The sequence below is a fragment of the Homo sapiens genome, chromosome 9 (genome assembly GCF_000001405.40).
Source record: "Homo sapiens chromosome 9, GRCh38.p14 Primary Assembly".
Taxonomy (NCBI): Eukaryota; Metazoa; Chordata; class Mammalia; order Primates; family Hominidae; genus Homo; species Homo sapiens.
The window spans coordinates 22712248-22732492 of record NC_000009.12 but is presented as its reverse complement, the minus strand read 5'-3'; the positions used below and the strand labels follow the sequence as shown (position 1 = coordinate 22732492).

General features: G+C 34.2%; 1 long non-coding RNA gene across 1 annotated transcript in view; it reads right to left on the bottom strand.

The window, feature by feature from the left end:
• LINC01239 (long intergenic non-protein coding RNA 1239) overlaps positions 1-20245 on the bottom strand; it is a 178014-nt gene that overhangs the window by 91721 nt on the left and 66048 nt on the right. Inside the window, exon 4 of the long non-coding RNA NR_038977.1 lies at positions 9063-9184. This is a non-coding gene — a long non-coding RNA (long intergenic non-protein coding RNA 1239). The remainder of the gene's footprint in view (positions 1-9062; positions 9185-20245) is intronic.

Sequence of the window (20245 nt, the reverse complement as noted above, 5' to 3'; positions counted from 1 at the left end):
TGAACTTAAAATAAAAGTTTAAAAGAAGTGTCAGGTACTGAAAGTCTATTTCCGTTATAATGGGAATTTTATAATAAATAGAGCTGGTTCAATGGGTTGTCAAAGGAAATTGGTGAGATCTCTTCATAGTCATTTAATGTAAACTTTCTGAATACATATAAACATGAGCTGCAAACACAGACTATATCACTTTTATGCATTGTTATTCAAATATTATCACCCATCAACATGAAATGGAATCCATCAGGAAAGATAGAAAAGGAAATTAAGCAAATATACAGTGTGTACAGTAACCTCTCTTAAATTTTAGTCGCCTTTACTTTCAGATACCTAACTGATATTTACATTTGAAATTCCTCAGAGAATCTTATACTCAGAAGATCCAAAAAGAAATCCGCTATTTTCATCTTGCAACCCCAAACCTAGTACTTAGCTTACACTCCTTTCCACATTCTTTAAATCTTGCCTTATCTCGTATATCTAGTCACTCTACAGTTCCTGTTGATTCAGCCACTTTAACATTTCTGGAATTCTTTCTCTCTACCCAATTCTACCTTGCCACCACTCTTTTAGTCTCTGATAATTTCTTGCATGGATTACTATAACAATTGCCCAATTTGTCTCTCTGCCTCAATCTCAACCACTATATTCAATTGTTTAAACTGTGCCTTTCATGGCACCTTCCTCTCACCTACTTATTCCAAAGAAAAATGTATCTTTACAATGAAGAGATACGTAAATCTCGCACTCACCATTTTAAGTGATTAAAGGTGACATCAACAATAGTGGGGTAACCTGATGTCACATTTCTCATGACACAATGCAATAAAAGACAGTTCACCAATAGTTTCTTGCCAAAAATGTATAATCATAACTGAATCATGAGGAAATAATTTTTTGAGAATAGAATATGGAAAGTTCTACAAGACAACTATCGGTTTTCTCAAAAAAAAACAAATTAATATTGGGGAAAATTCTAATTGCAATACTGCAATCTGGTTGCTTGCCAAGGAAAAGGAATTTACAATTTATTTTCCCATTTTCTCCCTTATTCTGTAAACTGTTGAATGTGAATTTTACTTAATGAAAGGTGGTGGATTAACAATCTTCAGAGATGTGCTGGATATTTGCACAAAATGCTTGTTGTTTGGGAGAAATGCATCACTGGTATCTTCTCGTGGGCAGAATGTGCTGCAAACATTACCCACAATGAATATTCTGTCACAGGGGAGACTGGGCACAAACATCTGTTAGAGTCTTTTATGACAGATCAGTATATAGGCAATGTTGCCAGCAAGGGTTTTTCTCCATTATAAAACAACAATCTTCAGTAGAATTGGAGTCACTAAAAGCAGGAAAACAGCTTGCTTTATGAAAGATGCCACATTTTCTGCAGCCAAGAAATCACCGATCTGATGTTAAGTTCCTGCTATTAGTCTTTCTTCAGCTGTGCAGGTGGCAACTGTTCTGTGTTCCAGTTCAGCTCCCCAAGGTTACAGCTGTGAACTTGGGTAATGGTTGTGTTTATTCTCTGCCAGGCTTAAAAATCTTCAGGGTGAAGCTTTTTTCTTTTTCTTGCTGTTCATTGAAAATTCCTTCTGGAGCAGATGTGCCGCTCCCCGTCTTCTGTAATTTCTGTGTTTTTATTAAGTTCAGCAGTTTTTTGTTTGTTTGCTTGTTTGTGGCCTTACTTTCTAACTACTCATGACATAGTCAATTCTGAAGTTAGTTTCTGTATATACAAAGGCTCTTATCATGTTACGAATAAAAAAAAATCTTGGTAATCTGGATGGCACATACCTTATGCCCTGAGTATTATAAGTCACTGTTGTGTTTTATATTGTAGTCTATGTTTGCTTACGCCATATCAGCCTGAGTTTAAGAATTTGGATGAATGGGACAATAATAACCCTTATTTTTTACTATTTTATATAATTGTATTTATTTCAGGGACTCTGGTCCCTGCAAAGTGGCCTCCCTTAACCCAATGATTTATAGAAGTCCGTAAGTGGCATCCCATAATGGCTCTTGAGTAAGTCCTGTCATTATATGGCAGGCATCATTTCTTCTCTCTGGTGTTGGCTTCCTGAAGGAGCATTACGCATCCTCATTTCCAGCAACACTCCTACTCTTCCAATACACTGGAATCCCCATAGGTCTCAAAGTAATGCCAGGATATTCTCTGGGGTTCCCATGCAACAAAACTAATAGAGAATAACATCCCTCCTTTTCTTCCTTTCTTCCCTCCTTTACATATACAATTAAGAATCTATCACTAGATGGTGAGGGTAGCATTGTGTTAGAACTGAAGAGAGAAAAAGAATGATGTGCTTCTGGCTTCATGTTTTTGATTTATCAGGGTAAAATACATTAAACAAATAACAACAAGTTCATTGAGTTTCATTATTGGAGTATTACAGGGTGTAATGAAAGCAGGTACTTGGGTACTAAACCAAGTCCAAGAGTTCAAAAAGGCTTCTCTGAGGCAACCGAGAACTCAGATGAGTATAATTTAGCTAGGTGAAGAGGAAAAGATAAAGTATTCCAAGTAGAAGAACATAGTTTCAACCAGACACTATATCTTCATTGTTTGTAGCTAGCTTTTTAATGAAATGTGCTGCATATGTCAATATTTCAGAGACGTTTTTTTAGTAAATATCCTCTTAAACTTCGACTTTCAGTAAAGGAAAAGGTTATAAAATGAACACTCATACACCTATCACCCTTTTGTCAGTCTGATCTATCAGTTACTGAATATAGTGTTTTAACATCTCTGTGAATAAAGGCAGACTTGCCCATTTATAATTAATTTTGCATATGTTTTCAACCCATGTTAGATATGAATTCAAGTTTAAATATATAATCCCTATGAAATGAGTTTCGTGCTTATCTAGTAATAGATTTTTAAGTTCTCTTCCTCTAAAATTAATATAGCTACACCAAATTTTATTTTAAAATCTATTTTTATGTCCTTACATTTCAAGTGTACCTAATGTAAATAGTATATTGGCAGATTTCCTTTTTAAACTGTCTGAAAAATACCTTTTGCACTGGAGAACTTAGGCCCATCATTGCAACTGATATATCTGCACAAATTTCTACTATTCTATTCTGGGCTTTGGGCTTATGTCATTGTTTTTATTTGTTTTTATTTTTTCTTTGTTGCCTTCTCTTGAATTTTTTTAATTGCACTTTTGAAGGCATCCTCTGTATTATATTTATTCAGGGTTGACCTTAGATAATTTTCCATGTATACTTAACTCAATACTAAATAAAGATATTTTATATCTTTATTTTCCACAGAGTGCCTATAAAATTACAAAGACATTAGGATTTTGAAAACTGACTGTCCCTTCCTCCATTTAATGACATTGTTGTCAGGTATTTTAATTTTTTACTCACACATAATTAAATGATTATTATGTAAAATGTTATTATTGTAGTCTTATGCAATCAGTTTGTTTAGACTCACCAATATGTTTATCATTATTATTGCTTACTATTTCCCTTTGCATCTTATAAGTTCAATCTGAGATCATTTTTCTTCTGCCTTAAGCTTATTTTTAATAATTGTTGATAATGAGTATGTAACTTACTAGATACTCAAAAGTAGAAGTTTCTGTACTTTAATAAAAGGTCTTAATTTTGTCCATATTCTTTGAGATATACTGGGCATATGATTTTAATGTTGACAGTAATCTTTCCTCAACACATGTAAGATATTATTCTATTAGGCTAAAAAGAAATCAATTATCAATATAATATGTATACAGTGTAGGTTCTCTTTATCTTTCATGTCTGTCAGTTCACTGTCATGCGTCTAGGTATAGATTTATTTTTATTTACTATAATGAAAATACATTGGGTTTTCTGGGATTGAGGTTAATGTGTTACAACAACCCTGGAAAAAAATCTCAGCCATTATCCCCTCAAATATTGTTTTTGTTCCACTCTTTCCATTATCCTAAACTTGAGTAGACAAATGTTAATCTTTCTCACTCTATAAGCTATGTGTTTTAACCTCTCTCTCACATTTTTCCTTTTTTTTTTCTGGCTAACCCTGGATAATTTCCTCAGACCACAATTTCAGTTTGTTAATGCTCTTTTTAAATTTTGACTACTCTGCCATTTGATTTATCTTTTATTTTAAAAAACCTTCTTCGTCTCTTTTGATCTTTGTTGGTTTAAAGTCTGTTTTATCAGAGACTAGGATTGCAACCCCTGCCTTTTTTTGTTTTCCATTTGCTTGGTAGATCTTCCTCCATCCCTTTATTTTGAGCCTATGTGTGTCTCTGCACGTGAGATGGGTTTCCTGAATACAGCACACTGATGGGTCTTGACTCTTTATCCAATTGGCCAGTCCGTGTCTTTTAATTAGAGCATTTAGCCCATTTACATTTAAGGGTAATATTGTTATGTGTGAATTTGATCCTGTCATTATGATGTTAGCTGCTTATTTTGCTCGTTAGTTGATGCAGTTTCTTCCTAGCCTCGAAGGTCTTCACAATTTGGCATGTTTTTGCAGTGGCTGGTACTGGTTGTTCCTTTCCATGTTTCATGCTTCCTTCAGGAGCTCTTTTAGGGCAGGCCTGGTGGTGACAAAATGTCTCAGCATTTGCTTGTCTGTAAAGGATTTTATTTCTCCTTCACTTACGAAGCTTAGTTTGGCTGGATATGAAATTCTGGGTTGAAAATTCTTTTCTTTAAGAATGTTGAATATTGGCCCCCACTCTCTTCTGGCTTGTAGAGTTTCTGCCAAGAGATCAGCTGTTAGTCTGATGGGCTTTCCTTTGTAGGTAACCTGACCTTTCTCTCTGGCTGCCCTTAGCATTTTTTCCTTCATTTCAACTTCGGTGAATCTGACAATTATGTGTCTTGGAGTTGCTCTTCTTGAGGAGTATCTTTGTGGCATTCTCTGTGTTTCCTGAATCTGAATGTTTCCCTGCCTTGCTAGATTGGGGAAGTTCTCCTGGATAATATCCTGCAGGGTGTTTTCGAACTTGGTTCCATTCTCCCCGTCACTTTCAAGTACACCAAACAGACGTAGTTTTGGTCTTTTCATATAGTCCCATATTTCTTGGAGGCTTTGTTCATTTCTTTTTATTATTTTTTCTCTAAACTTCTCTTCTTGCTTCATTTCATTCATTTCACCTTCCATCACTGATACCCTTTCTTCCAGTTGATCACATCGGCTACTGAGGCTTGTGCATTCGTCACGTAATTCTTGGGCCTTGGTTTTCAGCTCCATCAGGTCCTTTAAGGACTTCTCTGCATTGATTATTCTAGTTAGCCATTCGTCTAATTTATTTTCAAGGTTTTTAACTTCTTTGCCTTGGGTTCAAACTTCCTCCTTTAGTTCAGAAAGGATTCCCTATTTAACAAATGGTGCTGGGAAAACTGGCTAGCCATATGTAGAAAGCTGAAACTGGATCCCTTCCTTACACCTTACACAAAAATTAACTCAAGATGGATTAAAGACTTAAATGTTAGACCTAAAACCATAAAAACCCTAGAAGAAAACCTAAGCAATACCATTCAGGACATAGGCATGGGCAAGGACTTCATGTCTAAAACACCAAAAGCAATGGCAACAAAAGCCAAAATTGACAAATGGGATCTAATTAAACTAAAGAGCTTCTGCACAGCAAAAAAACTACCATCAGAGTGAACAGGCAACTTACAGAATGGGAGAAAATTTTTGCATTCTACTCATGTGACAAAGGGCTAACATCCAGAATCTACAATGAACTCAAACAAATCTACAAGAAAAAACAAACAGCCCCATCAAAAAAGTGGGCAAAGGATATGAACAGACACTTCTCAAAAGAAGACATTTATGCAGCCAAAAGACACATGAAAAAATGCTCATCATCACTGGCCATCAGAGAAATGCAAATCAAAACCACAATGAGATACCATCTCACACCAGTTAGAATGGTGATCATTAAAAAGTCAGGAAACAACAGGTGCTGGAGAGGTCGTGGAGAAATAGAAACACTTTTACACTGTTGGTGGGACTGTAAACTAGTTGAACCATTGTGGAAGTCAGTGTGGCGATTCCTCAGGGATCTTGAACTAGAAATACGATTTGACCCAGCAATCCCATTACTGAGTATATACCCAAAGGATTATAAGCCATGCAGCTATAAAGACACATGCACACGTATGTTTATTGTGGCACTATTCACAATAGCAAAGACTTGGAACCAACCCAAATGTCCAACAATGATAGACTGGATTAAGAAAATGTGGCACATATACACCATGGAATACTATGCAGCCATAAAAAAGATGAGTTCATGTCCTTTGTAGGGACATGGATGAAGCTGGAAACCATCATTCTCAGCAAACTATCGCAAAACAAACAAACAAACAAACAAACAAACACTGCATGTTCTCACTCATAGGTGGGAATTGAACAATGAGAACACATGGACACAGGAAGGGGAACATCACACACCGGGACCTGTTGTGGGGTGGGGGGAGGAGGGAGGGATAGCATTAGGAGATATACCTAATGTTAAATGATGAGTTGATGGGTGCAGCACACCAGCATGGCACATGTATACATATGTAACTAACCTGCATCTTGTGCACATGTACCCTAAAACTTAAAGTATAATAAAAAAGAAAGAAAAAAAACCCTTCATATTTTCTCATTTCTACAATGGTTCTTTAGGAAATCTGCTTGGTCATGTTTACAGCTCCTTAATCTATGCTCATTCAAGGATTCTTATTTCTTTTAGAATATTAAATGTATTTATTGTATGTTTTGTAGATAATTCTAACACAAAAAGTTTTTACATGGCTGATTCTGCTGTTTGCTTATTTTTTTATTAGCTCAAGCATACAGGGCTAGGCAGTATACTTGGTCTTCATTTATCATGGGTTCTGTAATTGTGAATTTATCTACTTGCTAAAATATATTTGTAACCCTAAAATCAATACTCATGGCACTTCTGTGGTCATTCGTGTATATTCACAATGTAGCAAAAAAATTTTGAGTCACCTGATAGATTCCCAGCTGAGGTCAAACAGAGTGAAGTTCTGCCTCTTGTTTCAGATCTCCTACTATAAATAAATGACCTTTTTTGCTGTCTATTTAGGGCCATATTTTTCACATTTATATGGTTTTTTACATTTTAAAATGGCCCACAAGCGTAGTGCTGAAGTGTTTTTTAGTGCTTCTAAACAAATGAAAATTTTAGTGTGCCTTCTGGAGAAAAGGCATCTTATCGGCTATGAGTTCAATGTTAATGAACTAGCAATATATATTAATTAAGGTGTCTTTAAACAGAAACATACATAATAAAAAATGATGTATTTATCAGTTAATGAAAACATTATGACCACAAGCTCATAGGAACCTAACCCCACATTTCCCTTAGGAGCAATTGTTCAATATTTGCTAATCCAGTGTTCACAGCAACTTTATGGAGCATAACTACTGCAAATAATAAGAATTGATTGCATTTTCTTACTTTGCTATGAATTCACATTCATTGGACTTTATCTGTTAAGTTATTATATAAGAAAACTTACATTTCTCCAGAAATGGTTTGTATTTTCTTTGCTAGTAGCCTAGAAGCAATACAATCCCAAGATGGCTTCAAACAAAGCTATCTGCTTGATGTTTTATAACTAAACAGTGTGAATGAATTCAGGCCACACAACTTTGTGGACAACTATTTATGTTTACAAATTCTCAATAGATTTTTTTATCCTACCATATACTAGGGTTGGGAAATTCAACTTTTCTTTCACTAACATTTTCTCAGAAAGAGTAGCACTTTGAAGGCCCCAGATTCATGTGGGAGCCTGCTATTCTCTTTCCAGACTGGCTCCAGGAATTATTATTTCCCACAATTTGTACAACTGTCAAAATGGAATCTCAGTGTTATCAGTCTAGGTAGATTATCACAAGAAACATTCTCATTTTGGTACTTGTTTCTATCCCAGGATTCCCATTTTTGCTTGATTAAAAATAAAAAATAAAAATCTTTGTAGATGTGTTATTAATTATAAAACCAGGGACTAATGTTTAAAAACATTAAAATAAATTTTAGCTTTCTTATTTGTTTTTTTCAAGAGATACACTTAATATGCTGGAAACAAAATTCTTCTATTCCAGAGGGTTTATAATTCCAAGCTACAGCCAAAATATTAATATAGAAAGAATTGTCAGCATAAAGCAAGGAGATCTCCCACCAAATCTTTTTTTCTGTTGCTTTCCAGTGCTGTGAATTAAGGTTATTGATACAATTATCTGATTTTCATTGTGTATTTCTTCAAAATAGGGTACACTGATGTGTCATATGAGTTGTTATGGACTATCAAATGAGATGGTGCATGTGAAAACATATATCATCGTGCTGCAATGTGTTTGCATATTAATTAAAAGAGGGAGTGTGATCTAATACAAATTTCCAGAGTTTTGGAATGAGAAACATTTATCTTTTATCATCTATGAGAGCTTCAGAGAATCAAGTCAGTGCTCATGTGCTTATTTCTAAGAAGCTGGATAAAATCTCATTCCCTTCAAAGACTTATAAGCAACCACATACTTTATACTTGATTTCTGTTTATAAAATAAGGAGAACCATGGATATGCTCCTGCTGCTCACATTATAAGAATATTGCTAACTTGATGGTTAAGCTTGCATGCCTTTATGTTTGCTGTCTTTATGATTCAGATTTTGCTACATTGTCATTAGTAATAATCATTGTCTTGTGTTTATTTAAGTAACAGTAATATTAATAAGTGAATATCAATGCTAAGTTTGCATTCATTATTCAATTATTTTAAAGTCCAAATAAAAAAGAAATAATTATTACACTGTTATATTAGAGTGGACTAAGCTGCAGTACAATTAGCACCAAAGGTGTATTATGTCTAAAACAAAATAGAAGTTTATTTCATACTCACATTACCATTCAACATGAGTTTTCCCAGCCTGAGTCTGATTCAAGTAGCCAGTCGACTATCTGTGGTTTTAGCATCTCTTACAGACGTGTTGATATATAAGCAGTGGAAAAGAAAAAATAATAGTCAGTGGACATACCTGCTTCTTAAAGCCCTGGGTCAAAAATGATGCTTATACAATCTTCTACTCATATTTCTTTGTTGGAACTCAGTCATATGGTAAAACTCGACTGCATAGGAATCTTGAGAATTTTAGTCTGCCTGTATATATGAGAAGAAAAGAAATTGGATATTTTGAGACAAGTAGTATTTTCTGCCAAACCAAAAATGAGTAATATTATCTTGCATTAAAGCAAAATTATCTTTAACATCAACATCTGAAAGAGCACTAAACCATTTTCTACCTAAAGTTAAGATTAATTTGCAATACACATTAATTTTTAGGAAATAAAGTGTAGTTGAGTAAAAAAATAAGTGTTCTTTATTATACTTAAATTTCTTCTTAGGTAACACCTGAATAGTAAATTTAGTATATATAACTTATGCATTATAACTATGGTTGTTGAATGATGTTTATCTTTTAGCTCAAAGTAAAAGTTCTGAATAGATGCATTACAGAAATTTCTTCTGTAAGTATTTAAGTTCTTAAAGAAAATTTGCTTTATTGTTAGGTGCCCGATTCAGAGTATGTGTAAGTAAAATAGTTAAAATGGCTCAAATACTTGATAGTAGAAACCTAAATAAAAGTCCCTTTAAATCAAATGTCAAGCACCATCCTTGGGCACAAATTCTTCCTGGGAGCAAAGATGTACAGTATGAGAGTTAAAGGAATGTGTTTTAACAATGACATGTCGCTTTGTCAGGGATGTCTTTGTAATGACTAAGAAGCAGGTTAATAGGATGATTAGAATGAAGGCTAAATATGACAAAAGCACAAAACACTTTCTTCATGTCATTCCTCTGAGATATGTGGGTGGCAAATATTATCTCTGTTTCGTAGATTGAAAAATGAAATAGTTTAAGCACTCAGAGGCATTTTACTGACATTCAGATTTTTACACAGGTGTAATTTCTTTTTATAGATCTCTAATAGTAATTACATCAGCTTTAGGCTCCTGAAATATTTTCAAATGTCTAGGGTTGTTGAAACAATGAATGTTTCATTCTTCACTCTTTTTAATTCTTCATAAACCCTTTAACTCTCTTTAGGTAATAAGAGTTACACAAAAATAAGAATGTTATTTCTAATTGCAAAGAGAATATGTAAGATTTAGAGGTGTTTTTTAAAGAACATTTGTAAGATGTATCTCATTATTGGCCTTTATACAACTGATACCAAAAATGGCTATTTGACACATTTATCATCTGCGTTTTTGACCAAAAGGCAAAAAATATCCAGAAAAGCCAAATCTTTATCTATTATAATAAACTAGAAAATTGAACATCTAATCTTAAAAGCCCTATAATAAGTGCTATAAGTTTACCATTAAAAATGCTGTGGAACTCTGAAGAAAATTAATGGAACTTAAATGATTTTAATGAATTAAAATCACAGTGTTCAGCAGTCGTCAGTTATGTAACTAATATGTCCTAACAGCAATTGTTCTCTCTCTGCCAATTGATTGAGTGTTGCATAGGGATCCTGTAGGTCTCATTTCTGACCAATACAATCATTGCTCAGACTCCTGTTGAGGCTACACCCTCTCACCCAAACAAATTTACCTCAATCCATAATGATTATTATAAATATTAGTATCAACTTTCTGAATTAGAAAAAGAGCATGAGTATTGTCTATCCTAATAAGGATACTATTCTATGATCTTCATCTGGAATTCCCTGAAAGTTCACTAAAATTCTACATAACCCAAGCAGATTTGTACAACAGTATCTAAAACTTCACTTGTTTTTATATATGTCTCTAGGGGGAATAGATAGTAATGTATTTTATAAAAGTCAATTACTTTATCTCTCATTTATTAGAGATAAATTATATCACTTTAAATTTTTAACAACAAAAAAGAATTGTGGTAATAGCAATTTATCTATGGTAATTGTAAAACAAATTAAATTAATTAGAAATCCAATTATATTATCTATGTTGGCCTTCATAGCCCTTCTAAAGCAATTAGTCTTCCTCTATCTTTACTTAAGAAATGATGCAATTTAGTTTTATGGCATTTTCTGTGAAAGGTGTTATATGATATTGCAGTTTAGAAATTTGACATTGTTCAATAATAAATTGTGTGTTGCTTTGTATAGAATGAAAATTGTCAACATAAAAATGTTCATCTATATGTGGTAGATATTTAACTCTCAAAATTAGCTTAATCTGTTTAAGGCTAATAATTGTTAATTGAATTATTTTCATAAGCAAATGAATCTTTAATAAACTTAGCTTTCTGGATTCTATTACTATTTTTTTCCAAGTCGCATTAATTTCCCTTCTTTATTTGTTATAATAAACTCCAAGGACCTAAACTTTTACTTATTATAAATAGTGGATAACCCGTTTGGATCCAGTTAGCAACATCTATAACTTATTTATTGGTGCTGATTTCATAATTTGTGTTGGAAAGCTATAATATAGAAAGGAAGGAAAGGAAGCAGGAAGGTAGGAAGGAAGAAAGGGAGACAGAAATAAGATGTAAAAATTCTGTATGCTAAGAGAGTTCTACCAAGTGGAATATTGAAAAACAAAAACTGGAAATAATCTAATGCCTATCAGTTGATAAATGAACAATATGTGGTATATCCATAGAATGGAGTATTATTTAGTGATAAAAATGAAGCAAATACTGACCCTTGCTGTGTCATGGGTAAAACTCAGAAATGTTGTGCTACATGAAAGAAGTCAAACATAAGAGACTAAATATTGTCTTGTTGTATCTATTTATAACAACTGTATAGAAAAGGTAAATTTATGAAGTAAATTAGTTTTTTTAAATTTTAGTTGAGGTGGGGTTCCTCATGTTGGTCTAGCTGGTCTCAAACTCCTGACCTCAAATGATCCACTCGCCTTGGCCTCCCAAAATGCTAGGATTATAGGTGTAAGCCACTGCGCCTGGCATGTGAAAGACATATTTACAGAGTCACGATATTTGCGTCTTTTTTAGGACAGAAGATTACGTTCTTTAATATAGTTTTTCAGCATCTGCAACAATAACGTCTTCTTCTTTACCAAATTTAAAGCTTGTTTTTGATAGATCAATTTTTGATGTACAAATCAGAAAATTAAGATATACCCTACTGAGGTACTTGATTGGCAAAATTACCCCTTCTCTGATTAACTTCAAAGGTAGTAAACAAGTCTATGGAAGCACCTAATGTTATATAGTAAGAATAAATAGAGTACTGATTATAATCAGATGTCTAAAAAATGCAAATGCCTGTCTACACAGAAACAAAGACTTGCTCTTTGGGAGATATTGTAGATTATAGTGCAGGATGATTATACTGCAAAAATTGGTTATAAATATTTTATTATGTAGAGGAAAGATGGAAGAAACTAATGTTTTTTATATAATCTAGCTTATTTTTGACATAGTGTTGAGCAATTTTATTAACTCTATGTATTTTAATCTTCATTTTTTAAATGAGAAAAATTGTGTTCAGTGAGTGTAATATAATACAAGTAGTGACACAGTCTCACCATAAAGGATCTCATTTCTCACAAAAATAATATAAAGAAGGAAAAGTTGAATATTCACTTATTTTTATGAGATGAAAAAAATACATGACAAAATTTTAGCAAATGTCAACAGAACACATTGCAGAGTATTGAAAATGGTATGCTTGGAGCATCATTTTAAAACCTGAATAATTCAAGAAGCATATATGTGTTCTTAACAAATCTCTGTTTCTGCATATTTTCTGTTGTTAGTATTGCTGCCCAAGAGACAGTATAGTGGTCTGTATAAAACATCAAAACACATCAAGTGATTTGCTTGACAGTTAATCCACTACGATAAAACATAGTTATATGCTTTTCAAGGTTTTATAAAAACCTGATCAAACCCAGAGCATATGTATTCAAGGTAGTCATCTCATATTCAAGGTAGTCATCTCCCATGAAACATTTTCTAAAACACTTAATCAAAATTACAAAACCTGTTCATGTCGTTGTATTAACAAAACTATTTAAAGTTATTTCTTTTTCCTTTAGTTTTTAAAGGTTTGAAATATTAAGCTCATAGAGACTCTGAAATATTTTACTATTCAGTGGAGAACATTACCAGTGCTATTGCCAAAATAGCATAGTAATATTTGGGCAGAGTGTGTTCTGTGATAGTAAGTTTATACACGACTAGAACACAAAAACAATATTTAACTTTCATCTCTGAGCTTAGTGAAGTGGAAACTATGCAATTTTTTCTGTCATTATCTAGTAGCTTTCTGACTCTGTGGCAGCTTTTCCATAAAGTAGGTTATATAACTATAAGGGAAAATTTAAGAAGGCAACAGAAAAACTACAGTGTCAAGCCATAAAATTCTCTCTAAGCAGCTGAAAAATTTCTTTGGAGTCTTAAATTTTTTTGTCCAGATGAATATTTATGTGCATGAATATCTAGTCATTTTAAAATATGTCGCTATTCAAAACTTTGTATAAAAAGCTACTATTTAAAGCAGAAAATGTTGTTCTCAAATTATAAAAATATCAGTGTATTAATGAGAATCAATACATTTCTTTTAAAATTTAAAAATAATTTTAAGTTTTGCTCCCCCTAGAGGAAGCAAATAGCTTGCTATGTACAGACACATATATATACATCAATCTTGGGGTCATATGTTATTTCATATATATATAAATATATTATCTATATTCCATATATTGAAATATATTTTACATATTAAAATATAATTCATATCTATAATAAATGACAGGTGATATCAAAATTAACTTATCACAGTGTACAAAATAAAATATTGCAAATGAACTTTGGTGTTAATAGTGGTAAACTGATGAAGGTTAATCCATATCAGTTTACCTGCCAATAATCTATTTTTTAACTTTATCAATATTAGTTAAGATGTGTTTATGAAATATATGGATAAACATCAAATAAGAATGAATGGGGATTCTGCGAAGTTGATGGCAGGGGTCATAGTTTTTCAATATCCTTGGATCCCCAGACAAAAACAGACTCAGCAACTAAATGTGAAAGTCAGGAATTTATGGGCAACCTGTTAATAAAATTTAGTTAAGAGGTGCCTGATGAACCCCAAAATAAGTGAATTGGAAAAAGAAATCACAACAACAGCCAGAAGTCCAGCCTACTATCACTGTCTGGAGGGGAGAAAGCACAAGAAAGCAAGTGGGAATCTGAAATACTTGAGAATGGAAAAAAATCCAAATGACCAACAGGTATTTATTTAAAACCACAATGGTGTAGATTTTAGTTGTGTGCAGCAACTAAAATTGGAGAGTTTTACCTACTGGAAATGTGGGTAAGTGCAAGTGTGTTTAAAAAGATGTAAAGGGGCTGAATCAGTCATCAAAACTGAATGGCCAAGGATCATTCCAGAATAGCTAAAACACATTAAAGCTCTGGTACAAAACATGAAAGAAGGTAAATAAGAATTATTCAAAATTCAAAATGAGACTATGCAACTCAGGACATAATTAGAAAGGATATTTCTGGTTATGAAAACCAAACTAGAGAGAATGAAAAAAACCAATAAATACAAAAGATTAAAGCCTTAATAGAAATAGTCAAATGGATGAAAATTTTAAAAATCAAAAAGAAATTGAAAAATTGCTTTAAAAATGGATTTGAGATAAGTAATAATTACAGAAGGTAGTAAAAAAATCCAAAATAGGTAATAATGTTTTCAGGAATAAATACAAAACAAAGGAACACAATAAATAAAACCAATTATAATTTTAGTAACTTTCCTGAATAATTAAACAAATTGAGGTGACATCAGTGAAAATGGCTGAATAAGGAATTACAAAAGACTGTCCTTGCATAAAAAAAGTGAAGAAACTGGTAAGCACTGTCAGAAGCAACTTTATTAGAACTCTGGAAAAACTCATCATAGGTTTTAGTAATCAGGAAAATGCTTAATTAAGAAAAGAAAAACAAGAAACTTGATTCTTGCTAGTATACGTTTGTGGAGTCTTAATTTCTCTGGGCAGCGTCTCCCACCTGTGCAGCAACTTTGAGCACAACAATTCTCATTTTTGATATAGGTTATAGGTGCCTAGCACTAGGGGGAGCAAAATAAATCTCATTTTCAAAAAAGTATGACTTTGTTTTGATACATCTGCTGGCTCCCTGAAGGACCACTAGGCTTGTCTTTATTTTACTGAACTCTGAACTCTCCCAGTACTGAAGTGGCTACCAGGAAAAAAATATTTTAAACAAATGCATTATTCATTGCCACCTAGGGCAAGGGATAACAGTTGGGGTAAGCAATAGACAAAGCTAAAAGTTTGGGAGGAAAGCTTAGAAAATTAGATGCTTCTGGTAATAAGGGAATTAAAAATCTTCCACATACTACTGAGAACCTCTGAGGCTACAACATACATGTTCAGAAAAAATGGGTTAAGGCCCCAAGCTCTCACTGTGACTTGAACTCTACTCAATCAGAAGTAAAGCATTAGGCAGAATTGCAGTCTTCCTGTCTGAATGTGAAACATGTGCTCCAACACAGAAACAGAGACTATCTTCAAAGACTGGGGTTTTGGTGTTTTGTTGTTGTTGTTTCTACAAGTTTAAGGAAATCACTATTAAATCACAAGCTGACCAACAATATAATGAAATGGAGATTTTAAGGAACACAAAGAAGAAATTTAGACTTTACAAAATTAGTGCAGAAAATCCACTTGACACTCAGGCAAAACAATGTCAATATGAAGAACATAAACCTCTGGGGAGGAGGAGAACATGATCCTGAGAGTTGTTACATAATAATATTCAAAATATCCCCTCTTCAAGAAAATAATTATAAGTTATGAAAGGAAATAAGAGTATATAACCCATATACCAAAAATACAAATAGAAATTATCAAAAATTTTTCCTGAGAAAGCCTGGACATTGAATTTACTAGACCAAGACTTAGTCAACTATTTTATTTTATGTATATTTTTAATATCTCATCTAAAATGTATAATCAACTATTTTAAATATACTAACATGGCTGAAGAAAATCATAGACAAACAAATAAAGGAAGTCATCAGAACAATGTCTCACCAAGCAGAGAATACCCATAAACAGATAGAAATTTTGAAAAGAAACCAAATAGAAATTCTGGTGTAGAAAAATATAACTAAAATAAAAAATTCACCAGAGGAATTCAGAAGATTTGAAAAGGTATAGGGAAGATTTGAAGGTAGATCAAATGAGATTCCCAGGTCAGAGGACCATAAAGGAAAAATAATAAAGAAAAATAGAGAGCCTAAGAAACCTGTGGGATACCAAGCATACAAAAATATCCATAATGTTAGTTCTAGGAAGAGAGGAGAGACGAAAAAAAAAAAAAGCGGCAGAAGGAATATTTAAAGAACTAGGCCAGGTGTGGTGGCTCACGCCTGTAATTCCAGCACTTTGGGAGGCTGAGGCAGGTGGATCACTTGAGGTCAGTAGTTTGAGACTAGCCTGGCCAATATGGTGAAATCTCGTCTCTACTAAAAATACAAAAATTAGCTGGGTGTGGTGGCACATGCCTGTAATCCCAGCTACTCAGGAGGCTGAGGCAGGAGAATCACTCGAACATGGGAGGCAGAGGTTGCAGTAAGCCAAGATCGCACCACTGCACTCCAGCCTGGGCAACAGAGTGAGACTCCGTCTCAAAAAAAAGAAAAAAAGAAAAAAGAAAAAGAAAGAAAGAAATAATGACTGAATTTCTCAGATTTGGTGAAATACCTGAATCTGCATATACAAGAAACTTAATTAATGTCAAGGTGCATAAACGCAAAAAGATCAAAACTGAAAATAAACCCAAAAAGAAACCTAAAACCAGCAAGAGAGCAGAGACTCATCATATACAAGGGATTCACCATAAGATTAACAGCTGAATTCTCATTAAAAAAAAAAAAAAAAAAAAAAAAAAAAAAAAAACTATGAAAGCCAGAAGACTGTGGGAAGGCATATTTAAAGCGCTGAAAGGAAAAAAAAAATCAACAAAGAATTCTGTATTTGGCTAAAACCGACTTCACAAATGAAGAAGGAAGTAAGATATTCCCACAGACACACAAACTAAAAGTGTGTTTCTGGTAGATATGCCTTATAAGAAATACTAAAAGGAGTCCTTTAAACTAAAGTGAAAGTACACTAGGCTGTAGCTGAAATCCACACAAAAGAATAAAGGCAATCCACACAAAAGGCAACTACACAGGTAAATATAAAATTCAGTATTAATATAATTTCGGTTTGTAATTCTTTTTCTTGTCCTTCTTGATTTTAAAAAAACAGTTAAACAAAACAGTCATCATAAATCTATGTTAATGGGCACACTATAAATAAAAATGGAATTTGTGGCATAAAAATCAATAAAGGGGAGACAGGAAGAAAGTAACTAGTGTACACTATATGACATTAATTCAAATGATATAATAATGTTGTTATAAATTAGGATTTCTTTTGTAATCTCCAAAGGATCCACTAAGAAATAACCAGAAATCATTTAGTAAAGGTAATAAGAAAGGAATTAAAATGGAACACTTAAAATAGTTATCTAACATAAGAGAAGGCAGCAAGGGATGTGTTGTGAGACAAAAATAAAAGTACAAGATATAGAAAGCAAATAACAAAATGGGAAAAATAACTTATTCCTTATTAATAATTATATTCATTATAATTAATTACATTTTAGATATATTAAACTCTATAATTAAAAGATACCTTCATAAGATGAGCTAAAATAATCCAACTATATGCTGTTTGTCAGAGATTCACTTTAAATATAAAGACACAAGTAGTTTGTAAACCGAAGTATGAAAAACATATTCCATGAGTGACTATACTGAGCCAGAGTGGCTATACTAATACCAGGCAAACTAGACTTTAAGTCAAATTTGTTACAAGGGACAAAGAAAAACATGACCAGTACTGATTACAAGATCTATTTAAATAGATGTAGTAAATAGTAAAGATAATAATAAAAACTTCCAACAAAGAAAAGCCTAAGACAAGATGCTTTCAATGATAAATTCTACTAAAGATCTAAAGAATTAACACCACTTCCTCTCAAGTTTTTGCAAAAAATAGAATAGGAGATGTATTAGTCTGTTTTAATGCTGCTGATAAAGAGATACCTGAGTCTGGGCAACTTACAAAAGAAAGAGGTTTAATTGGACTTATAGTTCCACATGGCTGGGGAGGCCTCACAATCATGGCAGAATGCAAGGAGGAGCAAGTCACATCTTACGTGAATGGCAGAGGCAAAGCTTGTGCAGGGAAACTCCCGTTTTTTAAAACCATTGGCTCTTGTAAGGCTCATTTAGTATCATAAGAACAGCACAGGAAAGACCCGCCCTCCCCCCACTCAATTCAATCACCTCCCACTGACTTCCTCCCCTGGCACATAGGAATTGTGGGAGTTACAATTCAAGATGGGATTTGTGTGGGGACACAGCCAAAGCATATCATTCTGCTCCTGGACCCACCAAACCTCATCTTCTCACATTTCAAAACCAATCATGTCTTCCCAACTGTGCCCCAAAGTCTTAACTCATTTCAGCATTAACCCAAAAGCCCACAGTCTAAAGTCTTTTCTGAGACAACGCAAGTCCCTTCCACCTATGAGCCTGTAAAATCAGAAGCAAGTTAGTTACTTCCTAGATACAATGGGGGTACAAGCATTGGGTAAATATAGCTGTTCCAAATGGGAGAAACTGGCCAAAACAAAGGGGCTACAAGGCCCCATGCAAGTCCATAATCCAGCAGGGCAGTCAATTCTTAAAGCTCCAAAATGATCTCCTTAGATTCCATGTCTCTCATCCAGATCATGCTGATCAAGAGGTGGGTTCCCATGGTCTTGTGGAGCTCTGTCCCTGTGGGTTTTCAGGGAACAGCCTCCCTCTCAGCTGCTTTTATGGGCTGGCATTGAGTGTCTGCAGCTTTTCCAGGTACACGATGCAAGAAGTTGGTGAATCTATCATTCTGGGTTCTGGAGGATATGGCCCTCTTCTCGCAGTTCCACTACGTGTTGCCCCAGTAGGGACTCTGTGTGGGGGCTCCAACCTCACATTTCCCTTCTGCACTGCCCTAGCAGAGTTTCTCCATGAGAGCCCCTCCCCTGCAGCAAACTTCTGCCTAGACATTTAGGCATTTCCATATATACTCTGAAATCTAGGCAGAGGTTCCCAAATCGCAATTCTTGACTTCTTTGCACTGGCAGACTCAACACAATGCGGAAGCTGTCAAAGTTTGAGGCTTGCATCCTCTGAGGCCACAGCCCAAGCTCTACATTGGCCCCTTTCAGCAATGGCTGGAGTGACTGGGACACAGGGTACCAAGTCCCTAGGCTGCACACTGCAGAGTAACCTATGGGCAAGCCCACAGAACCATTTTCTCCTCCTAGGCCTCCAGTCTTGTGATGAGAGGGGCTGCTGCTAAGACCTCTAACATGCTCTGGAAACCTTTTCCCCATTGTCTTGGGGGTTAACGTTCAGCTCTTTGTTACTTATGCAAATTTCTGCAGCTGGCTTGAATTCCTCCTTTGAAAATGGGATTTTCTTTTCTATTGCAATGTCAGGCTGCAAATTTCCACTTTTATGCTCTGCTTCTTTTGTAAAACTGAATGCCTTTAACAGCACCAAAGTCACATCTTGAATGCTTTTTTGCTTAGAAATATCCTCTCTCAGATATCCTAAATCATCTCTTTCAAGTTCCAAGTTCCACAAATCTCTAGGCCAGGGGCAAAATGCTGCCAGTCTCTTTGCTAAAACATAACAAGAGTCACCTTTGCTCCAGTTCCCAACAAGTTCCTCATCTCCCTCTTTGACCACCTCAGCCTGAATTTCATTGTCCATATTATTGTAAGCATTTTTGTCAAAGCTATTCAACAAGTCTCTAGGAAGTTTCAAACTTTCCCACATTTTCCTGTCTTCTTCTGAGCCCTCCAAACTGTTCCAATCTCTGCCTGTTACCCAGTTCCAAAGTCACTACCACATTTTTGGGTGTCTTTTCAGAAGTGCCCCACTCTACTGGTACCAATTTACTGTATTAGTCTGTTTCCTTGCTGCTGATAAATACATACCCAAGACTGGGCAGTTTACAAAAGAAAGAGGTTTGATGGATTTACAGTTCCACGTTTCTGCGTAGGCCTTACAATCATGGTGGCAGGTGAAAGACACATTTCACATGGCAGCAGATA